Consider the following 12,147-nt stretch of genomic DNA (forward strand, 5'->3'; position numbering starts at 1 on the left):
ATGCCTCAGGAAAAAATGCCTAGGAAGTTTCCACTGGGGAGTTGATGACAAAACTGGGTTTTGAAGGATGAATAGGAGTTCACTGGGATGGTGGGAGCAACCAGATGTGTATGGGCTTAGAGCAGAGCATTCAAAGGAATAAAAACACCATGCTTAGCATGCACGTGAGTTCGTAAGGGTAGCAGGTTAGGAAACCAGGTATGTCCACCATGCCAGGATGCTTACCCTCACCCTGAGGGTAGTGGAGGATGTGGGGCTGCATGACTCCTGTTTGTATTCAAGACATCAGTCTGGCAGCATCAAAAAGGGGACTGGAGGCCAGGTGCAGTGACTCATGCCTATAGTACCAGCACTTTGGGAGGCCAAGGCAGGAGGATCGCTGGAGGATCGCTGGAAGCTAGGAATTCAAGACCAGCCTGGGAATATAGCAAGATCCCAGTATCTACAAAAAAAAAAAAAAAAATACAGAAAATTAGCTGGGGGTGGGCCAGGCGCAGTGGCTAACCTCTGTAATCCCAGCACTTTGGGAGGCCGAGGTGGGGGGATCACGAGGTCAAGAGATTGAGACCAGCCTGGCCAACATGGTGAAACCCCGTCTCTACTAAAAATACAAAAATTAGCTGGGCGTGATGGCGCCCGCCTGTAGTCCCAGCTACTCGGGAGGCTGAGGCAGGAGAATCACTTGAACCCAGGAGTCGGAGGTTGCAGTGAGCTGAGATCGCACCACTGCACTCCAGCCTGGCGACAGAGCGAGACTCTGTCTCAAAAAAAAAAAAAAAAAAGAAAAAGAAAAGAAAAGAAAGAAAAAGAAAATTAGCTGGGGGTGGCAGTGTGCACCTGTAGTCCCAGCTACTTGGGAGGCTGAGGTAGGAGGTTTACTTGAGCACAGGAGTTCGAGGGGGTACAGTGAGCCATGAGCACACCATTGTACCCCGTCTGGATGTCTGGATGACAGAGACCGTCTCTGTCATCAACAGCTCTTTTATAAATCAGCCATGACCAATTATAAAACATAATTATGGCTGGGAGGCTGAGGCAGGAGGATCACTTGAGCCCAGGAGTTGAAAACCAGCCTGGATAACATAGCAAGACCCATCTCTCTCTCTCTCTCTCTTTTTTTTTTTGAGACAGAGTCTTGTTCTGTCACCCAGGCTGCAATGCAGTGGCGCAATCTCGGCTCACTGCAACCTCCGCCTCCTGGGTTCCAGCAATTCTTCTGCCTCAGCCTCCTAAGTAGCTGGGACTACAGGTGTGCACCACCACGCCTGACTAATTTTTGTATTTTTAGTAAAGACAGAGTTTTTACCATGCTGGCCAGGCTGGTCTCGAACTCCTGACCTCAGGTGATCCACCCACCTGGGTCTCCCAAAGTGCTGGGATTACAGGCATGAGCCACCACACCTGGCCATCCATCTCTCTCTCTCTCTCTTTTTTAAAGGCTATTATGAGAAATGCCATTCATGATGGCAACAAAAACTTTAAAAGGAATAGGAATTAACTCAGTAAATCTTTTTTTTTTTGAGACAATGTTTCACTCTTGTCGCCCAGGCTGGCGTGCAGTGGCATGATCTTGGCTCACTGCAACCTCTGCCTCCCAGGTTCAGGCGATTCTCCTGCCTCAGCCTCCCAAGTAGCTGGGATTACAGGTGTGCACCACCATGCCAGGCTAATTTTTATGTGTGTTTTTAGTAGAGATGGGGTTTCAACATGTTGGCCAGGCTGGTCTCGAACTCTTGACCTCAGGTGATCTGCCTGCCTTGGCTTCCAAAGTGCTGGGATTACAGGCATGAGCCATCACACCTGGCCAACTCAGTAATTCTTTTCTGTTGAAAACCATAAAATTTACTGGGGAGTTGGGGAAGGAGATCTGGATAATGAAATGATATACCATGTTCATGGATGGCCTTTTCCTATTTAAAAGTTTCCCATATGAAGGAACAAATTGTTTATTTCTTATATACACATTCCTGGTCTAAAACTATTTACGTTAGTGGAACTAGAGCCATATAAATTATAAAACTGAAGTCCATCCTGCCACTCAATGTACATTTTATATAGTTTTATATTTGATGTATTCACACATTTAAACTATTATTTCTGGAAGTCAAACACCTGGACTGTAGAGGTTTATTTATGCAAAATAAGTAAATTATATCTAAATGACTCCTGGTTACAATACAAATTTTGTTTGAATGGAGACATTTTAGAGTACCTCTATTGTCTTTTTTCTTTCCTTGTGTGACATTATCCTAATTTAACTTATTTATTGTTTATTTCAGGAAACAAGTTTTTTTCACAATGGATAACTTTGAGACTAGTCTCCTTCCATTTACCATCCCTACATCAATGCAGGTAGTTATTTTACTGAGTGATCTGAAGGATGCTAGTATAAGTAATATTTGGGGGAAAATACAGTTCAGAAATATCAGACTGGTCTGTTTTTATTAGTTTAGAGGTTTATTTTACAATGTACCTCTTCAAGACATTAAGGGCAATTTCTAAGCCTAAAGAAGGGCTGGTTTTATTCTGCCCCTACTACCAAAATAGACTTTCTATTCCTGAAAAAGAAAAAAAGAGTGGATGTAGGTCCTCTTCCTTACATTGGTTATATTATAAATAGATAGATGGGATGGTATCTTACTTTATATGCAGTAATTTCAAGACCTCCCTTGGTCAGGTAAGTGGCTCACACCTGTAATCCCAGCACTTTGGGAGGCTGAGGCGGGCAGATCACAAGGTCAAGAGACTGAGACCATCCTGGCCAACATGGTGAAACCCCGTCTCTACTAAAAATACAAAAATTACCCGGGCGTGGTGGCACGGGCCTGTAGTCCCAGCTACTTGGGAGGCTGAGGCAGGAGAATCACTCGAACCCAGGAGGTGGAGGTTGTAGTGGCCTGAGATCGAGGCACTGCACTCCAGCCTGGGCAACAGAGGGAGACTCTGTCTTAAAAAATAATAATAAAATAAAATAAATAAATAAATAATAGATAGGTGGGATGGTATCTTACTTTACATGCAGTAATTTCAAGACTCCCTCAGTCAGGTACAGTGGCTGATGCCTGTAATCCCTGCACATTGATTGGCCAAGACAGGAGGCTCACTTGAGTCCAGGAGTTCAATACCACCAGCCTGGGCGGCTGGGCACGGTGGCTCACGCCTGTAATCCCAGCACTTTGGGAGGCCGAGGCAGGCGCATCAGGAGGTCAGGAGATTAAGACCACGGTGAAACCCTGTCTCTACTAAAAATACAAAAAAATTAGCTGGGCGTGGTGGCAGGTGCTTGTAGTCGCAGCTACTTGGGAGGCTGAGGCAGGAGAATGGCTTGAACTTGGGAGGCGGAGCTTGCAGTGAGCCGAGATCGCGCCACTGCACTCCAACCCCAGCTATTCGGGAGGCTGAGGCAGGAGAATGGCATGAACCCAGGAGGCGGAGCTTGTAGTGAGCCGTGATCGCACCACTGCACTCCAGCCTGGGTGACAGAGCGAGACTCCGTCTCAAAAAAAAAAAAAAAAAGAGCCCCCCAAATTGTCCTAAACCAAAGCACACCCTTAGTGAATATTTGAGAAATTATACCATCGACACCTATGCTAAATAAAGTTTTGGGCTGGACATGGTGGTTCACGCCTGTAACCCCAGCACTTTAAGAGGCTGAGGTGGGCAGATTGCTTGACCCTAGGAGTTCAGGACTACCCAGGGCAACACAACGAAACTCCAACTCTATATGAAATTAGCCGAGTGTGGTGGTGTGGTGGTGTGGTGGTGCGTGCCTGTTGTTCCAGCAACTCAGGAGCCTGAGGTGGGAAGATTGCTTGAGCCGGGAGCTAGAGGTTGCAGTGAGCTATGATTGTGCCACCGCACTCCAGCTTGAGTGGCAGCTTGAGACTATCTCAAAATAAATAAATAAAAATAAAGTTTTGTCAATTATCGAAAATACCAATATTTCTCCTAAAAGCGACACTTAACAGTTTTTTTTTTTTTTTTTTTTTTTTTTGAGACGGAGTCTCGCTCTGTCACCCAGGCCGGACTGCGGACTGCAGTGGCGCAATCTCGGCTCACTGCAAGCTCCGCTTCCCGGGTTCACGCCATTCTCCTGCCTCAGCCTCCCGAGTAGCTGGGACTACAGGCGCCCGCCACCGCGCCCGGCTAATTTTTTGTATTTTTAGTAGAGACGGGGTTTCACCTTGTTAGCCAGGATGGTCTCGATCTCCTGACCTCATGATCCACCCGCCTCGGCCTCCCAAAGAGCTGGGATTACAGGCGTGAGCCACCGCGCCCGGCCTACTTAACAGTTAATGCTAGTCATTCATCATTTATACTTTAGGCTTTGTCATCCAAGAAGGTTTTGTTTTGTTTTGTTTTGTTTGTTTATTTGATTTTGTGGTTTTTGTTTTTTGAGATGGAGTCTCCCTCTGTCACCCAGGCTGGAGGGCAGTGGCACGATCTCAGCTCATTGCAACCTCCACCTCCTGGGTTCAAGCGATTCTCCTGCCTCAGCCTCCTGAGTAGCTGGAATTACCCCCAAAATTAGCCACCACGCCTGGCTAATTTTTGTATTTTTTAGTAGAGACAGTGTTTCACTATGTTGGCCAGACTGGTCTCAAACTCCTGACCTCAGGTGATCCGTCTTGTTCTCCCAGAGTGCTAGGATTACAGGCATGAGCCACCACGCCCAGCTTCAGGGAAGGTTTTTATAAAGGAAGAGGAGATGGAATGAATTGAGGTATCTCAGGGCACCCAAGACCAGCTTCAACTTGGTTCTAGCTGGCCCCAAGATACACAGTTCTCAGTATCTAAGAACCAACCAACTATTGCTGGCATACATGGTGTTTTTTGTTTGTTTGTTTTTGTTTTTTTTGAGACGGAGTCTCACTCTGTCGCCTAGGCTGGAGTGCAGTGGCGTGATCTCAGCTCACTGCAACCTCCACCTCCCGAGTTCACACCATTCTCCTCCCTCAGCCTCCCGAGTAGCTGGGACTACAGGCGCCCGCCACCACGCCCGGCTAATTTTTTGTATTTTTAGTAGAGACGGGGTTTCACCATGTCAGCCAGGATGGAAAATGGTGTTTTTTGTTTTGTTTTGTTTTGTTTTGTTTTTGGTTTTTGAGACCGAGTCTCTGTCACCCAGGCTGGAGTGCAGTGGTGCAATCTCGGCTCACTGCAACCTCTGCCTCCTGGGTTCAAGCGATTCTCGTGCCTCAGACTCCTGAGTAACTGGGATTACAGGCAGGCACCACCATGCCTAGCTAATTTTTTTGTATTTTTAGTAGAGATGGGGTTTTGTTATGTTGGCCAGCTGGTATTGAACTCTTAACCTTGAGTGATCCGCCTGCCTTGGCTTCCTGAAGTGTTGGTATTACAGGCGTGAGCCACCATGCTCGGCCATAAATGTTTTTTTTCTTTTCTTTCTTTTTCTTTTTTTTTTCAAGACGGAGTTTCACCCTTGTTGCCCAAGCTGTAGTGCAATCTCGGCTCACCGCAACCTCCACCTCCTGGGTTCAAGCAATTCTCCTGTCTCAGCCTCCCGAGTAGCTGGGACTATAGGCACCTGCCACCATACTCAGCTAATTTTTGTATTTTTAATAGAGGCAGGGTTTCACCATGTTGGCCAGGCTGGTCTTGAAATCCTCACCTCAGGTGATTCACCTGCCTTGGCCTCCCAAAATGCTGGGATTATAGGTGTAAGCCACTGCGCCTGGTCTCTTTCTTTTTCTTTTTCTTTCTTTCTTTCTTTCTTTCTTTCCTTTCTTTCTTTCTTCCTTCCTTCCCTCCTTCCTTCCTTCCCTCCCTCTCTGCCTCCTTCCTTCCTTTCTTCTCCTTCCTTCCTTCCTTCCTTCCTCCTTTCTTTCTTTCTTTCTCTCTCTCTCTATTTCTTTTCTTTCTTTCTTTCCCAGAGTTTTGCTCTTGTCACCAGGCTGGAGTGACCCAGTCTCAGCTCACTGCAACCTCCACCTCCTAGGATCAAGCGATTCTCCTGCCTCAGCCTCTCAAGTAGCTCGGATTACAGGCACCTGCTGCCACAACTGGCTAATTTTCGTATTTTTAGTAGAGACGGGGTTTCACTATGTTGGCCAGGCTGGTCTCAAACTCCTGACCTCGGTGATCTACCCGCCTTGGCCTCCCAAAGTGCTGGGATTACAAGCGAGGGCCACCGCGCCCGTCCATACATTTTTTTTTTTTCAATGCATGTCTAGAAGTCTGCGTTTCTGAATCAATGTTTGAAAAGATGCTCTCATTGATATCATCCATATGATAACTTTTAGGTCGGCGTACCAGAAGTGACATCAGCACATTTTGCTGGTTCGTTATTGCTGTTAGTAGTGGATCAAAAAGTCTATATTTATGATTATGAAAATAATTCTTGGAGCATGTCTTTAGGTATGTACATTTTGTATTTTTAAATTTTGTTTGAGTGTAGTCAACATGAGAGAAGAGGGTATTAGTGTTGGAAGTATAAGCGATGCTCCTACTTGGATGTCAACCCCAGGACATTACTTTGTCCTTTCCAACCAAAATGAAAATTGGCCTGAGTCCCCATCCGTAGACTGGGAACCTAGTGTTCCCATCATGGATTGTAGTCACAAGCCACAAAAGCTACTTGGGCTTATTGAAACAAACAAGAGGCATTGGCCGGGTGCGCTGGCTCACGCCTGTGATCCCAGCAATTTGGGAGTCTGCGGTAGGCAGATCATCTGAGGTCAGGAGTTCGAGACCAGCCTGACCAACATGGCGAAACCCGGTCTCTACTAAAAATACAAAAATTAGGCTGAGTGCCGTGGCTCACGCCTGTAATCCCAGCACTTTGGGAGACTGAGGCGGGCGGATCATCTGAGGTCAGGAGTTCGAGACCAGCCTGACCAACATGGGGAAACCCCGTCCCTACTAAAAATACAAAATTAGCTGGGCGTGGTGGTGCATGCCTGTAATCCCAGCTACTCGGGAGGCTGAGGCAGGAGAATCGCTTGAACCTGGGAGGTGGAGGTTGCGGTGAGCCGAGATTGTGCCACTGCATTCCAGCCTGGGCAACAAGAGCAAAACTCTGTCTCAAAAAAAAAAAAATTAGCTGGGTGTGGTGGTGTGTGCCTGTAATCCCAGCTTACTCTGGAGCCCGAGGCAGGAGGATCCCTTGAGCCCAGGAAGTGGAGGTTGCAGTGAGCTGAGATTGGGCCACTGCACCCCAGCCTGGATGACAGAGTGAGACTCTGTCTAAAAAAAAAAAAAAATCGAGGGACATCAGCGGGTCTTGGTGATGGACTGGTGTCCGGGGAGGACCAGGGAAAACTGAGGATGACCAGTAGATGTCTGGTAACCAAGCTGGATTATGAGCATTGTCCCTCCCACACACTTCTCACGAGGGCTAGGGGACGGTAGAGAAGGTGAGCTTTATGAAGAGGGAGAAAGATGAGGACTCTGATGCAGGAGGAAAGAGGATGTGAAAAGTGAAGATGAGGCAAATGTTAGCTTTAGAAAAGAAGAGGATCGCCTGAGCCCAGGAGTTCAAGTCCACCCTAGGCAACAGAGCAGAATGCCATCTTTACAAAAAACCTTACTTTTCTTTTTCTGGAGACAGAGTCTCACTCGGTCACCCAGGCTGGAGTACAGTGGCCCAGTCTTGGCTCACTGCAACCTCTGCCTCCTGGGTTCAAGCGATTCTCCTGCCTTAGCTTCCTGAGTAGCTGGGGTCACAGGCACCCGCCACCACGCCTGGCTAATTTTTTGTTTGTTAGTTTGTTTTGAGATGGAGTTTCGCTGTTGTTGCCCAGGCTGGAGTGCGATCGCACGATCTCAGCTCATTGCACCCTCTGCCTCTCGGGTTCAAGCGATTCTCCTGCCTTACCCTCCCGAGTAGCTGGGATTACAGGCATGTGCCACCACGCCCAGCTAATTTTTTTTTTTTTTTTGACGGAGTCTCGCTCTGTCACTAGGATGGAGTGCAGTGGCACAATCTCGGCTCACTGCAACCTCCACCTCCCAGGTTCAAGTGATCCTCCTGCCTCAGCCTCCCGAGTAGCTAGGACTACAGGCGTGTGCCACCACACCCAGCTAATTTTTGTATGTTTTTAGTATAGATGGGGTTCCACCATGTTGGCCAGGATGATCTCGATCTATTTACCTCGTGATCCTGTCACCTCGGCCTCCCAAAGTGCTGGGATTACAGGCGTGAGCCACCATGCCCGGCTAATTTTTTTTTTTTTTTTTTTTGAGACGGCGTCTTGCTCTGTCACCCAGGCTGGATGGCGTGCAGTGGCGCGATCTCGGCTCACTGCAAGCTCCGCCTCCTGGGTTCATGCCATTCTTCTGCCTCAGCCTCTTGAGTAGCTGGGACTACAGGCACCTGCCACCATGCCTAGCTAATTTTTTGTATTTTTAGTAGAGATGGGGTTTCACGGTGTTAGCCAGGATGGTCTTGATCTGACCTCATGATCCGCCCGCTTCAGCCTCCCAAAGTGCTGGGATTACAGGCATAAGCCACTGTGCCCGGCCTAATTTTGTATTTTTAATAGAGACAGGGTTTCTCCATTTTGGCCAGGCTGGTCTTGAACTCCCGACCTCAGGAGATCCGCCCACCTCTGCCTCCCAAAGTGCTAGGATTACAGGTGTGAACCACCGAGTCGGGCCAACTGGGGGCAGTTCTGTCCCCCAAGAGGACACTTGGCAATGTCTGGAGACATTTTTGGTGTCAAGACTAGAGGAAGGTGCTACTGGCATTGAGTGGTGGGTAGAGATACAGATGCTAAAAAGCATCCTACAATGCATAGGAAACTCCTCGCAAGTGAGAACCATCTGCTCCCAAATTTCAGTAGTGTTGAGGCTGAGAAACCCTGTTCTGAACTTTTCTCCAGGCTGGGCGCGGTGGCTCATGCCTGTAATCCCAGCACTTTGGGAGGCCGAGGCGGGTGGATCACTCGAGGTCAGGAGTTTGAGACCAGCCTGGCCACCGTGGCGAAACTCCGTCTCTACTAAAAATGCAAAAATTAGCCAGGCATGGTGGTGGGCACCTGTAATTCCAGCTTGAGAGGCTGAGGCAGGAGAATCGTTTGAACCTGGGAGGTGGAGGTGGCAGTGAGCCACCACTGCACTCTAGCCTAGACGACAGAGATTGCACCACTGGCACTCCAGCCTGGATGACAGAGGGGGACTCTCTCTCAAATAAATAAATAAGTAAATAAATAAACTTTTCTAGGCCAGGTGTGGTGGCTCACGCCTGTAATCCCAGCACTTTGGGAGGCCGAGGTGGGTGGATGACAAGGTCAGGAGATCGAAACCATCCTGGCTAACACAGTGAAACCCTGTCTCTACTAAAAATACAAAAAATTAGCCGGGCGTGGTGGTGGGTGCCTGTAGTCCCAGCTACTCAGGAGGCTGAGGCAGGAGAATGGCATGAACCCGGGAGGTGGAGCTTGCAGTGAGCCAGGATCACGCCACTGCACTTCAGCCTGGGCGACAGAGCAAGACTCTGTCTCAAAAACAAAACAAAAAACAAAAAACTTTTCTCCAAACTTCAGGGAACTCATAAACATTTCAAAATTATATTTTCCTTTCAGGTATAAAACACCCTGTTACACATGTCTCTGGTGATAATTGTTGTTATACTGGAAGTTTGTTTTGTGTGGTAAGTATAAGTGTATAATTGTTCATTTTTTTTTGCTCTCCTCTGAACACAAATAATCATGAGTAGACATAAAGGCTGGGCGTGGTGGCTCATACCTGTAATCCCAGCACTTTGGGAGGCCGAGGCAAGAGGATTGCTGAAGCCCAGGAGTTTGAGACCAGCCTGGGCAACATAGTGAAACCCCATCTCTACAAAACAATAAAATAATTAGCTTGGTGTGGTGACATGTGCCTGTAGTCCCAGCCACAGCAGGAGGATTGCTTGAGCCCAGGAGATCGAGGCTGCAATGAGCCGTGATTACACCACTGCACTCCAGCCTGGGCAACTAGCAAGACTCTGTCAAAAAAAAAAAAAAAAAAAAAGACTGGGCATGGTGGCTCATGCCTGTAGTAATCTAGCATTTTGGGAGGCCGAGGTGGAATCACCTGAGGCCAGGAGCTCGAGACCAGCCTGGCCAACATGGCAAAACCCTGTCTCTACTAAAAATACAAAAAATTAGCCAGGCATGGTGGCGTGTGCCTGTAATCCCAGCTACTCAGGAGGCTGAGGCAGGAGAATCCCTTGAGCCTGGGAGGCGGAGGCTGCAGCGAGCTGAGATTGCACCATTGCACTCCAGCCTGGGCAACAAGAGTGAAACTCCATCTCAAAAAAAAAAAAAAGAAAAAAGATAAAGAAATAAGGACAGTGTAAGGCTTGAGACTGGGTCTCAAGAACTTGGTCAGTGTTATTTCCCATGGGCTCAGAGCACAGTTGGGAGATGGAAAAGGTTTTGGGGACGTTTTCAGATCCACCGGCTGACACTATAAATACATCCATCTATAGTTGACCTTTGAACAACGTATAGGTTAGAGGTACCACCCTCCACCCCACACAGTTGAAAATCCACAGGTAACTTTCGACTTCCCCAAAACTTAATTACTGTCCAGGCGTGGTGGTTCATGCCTGTAATCCCAGCAGTTTGGGAGGCTGAGGCGGGCAGATCACAAGGTCAGGAGTTCGAGACCAGCCTGGCCAACATAGTGAAACCCCGTCTCTACTAAAAATACAAAAAATTAGCCAGGCGTGCTGGCAGTCACCTGTAATCCCAGCTTACAAATTCGAGGCTAATATGGGCAACATGGTGAGACCTTGTCTCTACTCAAAATACAAAAAAAAAAAAAAAAAAGAAAAGAAAAAAATAGCTAGATATGGTGGTGAGCACCTATAGTCCCAGTTACTCAGGTCGCTGGGGTGGGAGGATGGCTTGAGCCCAGAAGGCGCAGGTTATAGTGAGCTGAGATCATGCCACTGCACTCGGCTGGGGCAATAGAGCCAGAACTTGTCTCGAAACAAAAACAAACCAAAAAACAAACTTAATTACTAATAGCCTACTGTTGCCTGGAAGCCTCACTAATAACATAAACAGTCTATGACTGTCACCCAGGGTAGAGTGCAGTGGCGCAATCTCGGCTCATTGCAACCTCCGCCTCCCAGGCTTCAGTGATTCCCCTGGCTCAGCCTCCTGAGTAGCTGGGACTACAGGTACACAGCACCACGCCTGGCTAATTTTTAGTACAGGTGGGGTTTCACCATGTTGGCCAGACTGGTCTCAAACTCCTGGCCTCAAGTGATCCACCTGCCTCAGCCTCCCAAAGTGCTGGGATTACAGGCGTGAGCCAACACGCCCGGCCTGTTTTTGTTTTTGTTTTTGTTTTTGTTTTTTTTAAGAGACAGGGTTTCATTATGTTGGTCAGGCTGGTCTTGAACTCCTGGCGTCAACTGATCCGCCCGCCTCAGCCTCCCAAAGTGCTGGGATTACAGTTGTGAGCCACCACGCCCAGCCTAACTTTGGTATTTTTTAGGAGAGATGGGGTTTCATTATGTTGGCCAAGCTGGTCTTGAACTCCTGGTCTCAAGTGATCTGCCTGCCTCGGCCTCCCAGAGTGCTGGGATTACAGGCGTGAGCCACCGCACCTGGCGTGTATCCACTTTTTGGCTATCAGAAACAGCCCCATCGAACAGTCACGTCCAGACATCCAGGTTTTTTTCAGTCATGAGTTTTCATTTCTCTGGGATAAACGTTCAGGAACGTACTTGCTGGCATCTTTCTTTCATTCTTTCTTTCTTTTTTTTTTTTATAGCATGTCAGTAATTTGGTTTTTGCATATTTCCGTGGAGATCAGATATCCCAGACTTATATATATTATTCAAATACTGGGGGATTCAGTTTTTGGAAGTATCACTATGACAGACAGGTATGTTAAATTTGGTAAGAATGTGAAAATAAATACATATGTACCTTGTGATTGTAGTAATTGCTGTCAATGGGTGCGTGAGGGTGTTTTCCTCTTTAAGAGTCCAACTGGGACAGGAGTGGTGGCTCATGCCTGTAATCCCAGCACTTTGGGAGGCTGAGGCAGGAGGATAGCTTGAGCCCAGGAGTTTGAGACCGGCCTGGGTGACATGGCAAGACCCCATCTCTACAAAAAATAAAAAAAATAAATAAATTAGTCAGGTGTGGTGGCGTGTGTTTTAGTCCTAGCTACTTGGAAGGC

At 47.7% G+C, this 12,147-nt stretch overlaps 1 protein-coding gene across 11 annotated transcripts in view; it reads left to right on the top strand.

The window, feature by feature from the left end:
- CATSPERD (catsper channel auxiliary subunit delta) overlaps window positions 1–12,147 on the top strand; it is a 58,098-nt gene that overhangs the window by 6,956 nt on the left and 38,995 nt on the right. For all 11 annotated transcript variants that reach the window (XM_011527885.4, NM_152784.4, XM_011527887.4 and 8 more), the window contains 4 exons: window positions 2,280–2,352; window positions 6,264–6,378; window positions 9,546–9,613; window positions 11,734–11,847. In XM_011527885.4, coding sequence (XP_011526187.1) covers window positions 2,280–2,352; window positions 6,264–6,378; window positions 9,546–9,613; window positions 11,734–11,847 — 370 coding nt within the window. The remainder of the gene's footprint in view (window positions 1–2,279; window positions 2,353–6,263; window positions 6,379–9,545; window positions 9,614–11,733; window positions 11,848–12,147) is intronic.

This window comes from Homo sapiens, chromosome 19 (assembly GCF_000001405.40).
Source record: "Homo sapiens chromosome 19, GRCh38.p14 Primary Assembly".
NCBI classification, from domain to species: domain Eukaryota; kingdom Metazoa; phylum Chordata; class Mammalia; order Primates; family Hominidae; genus Homo; species Homo sapiens.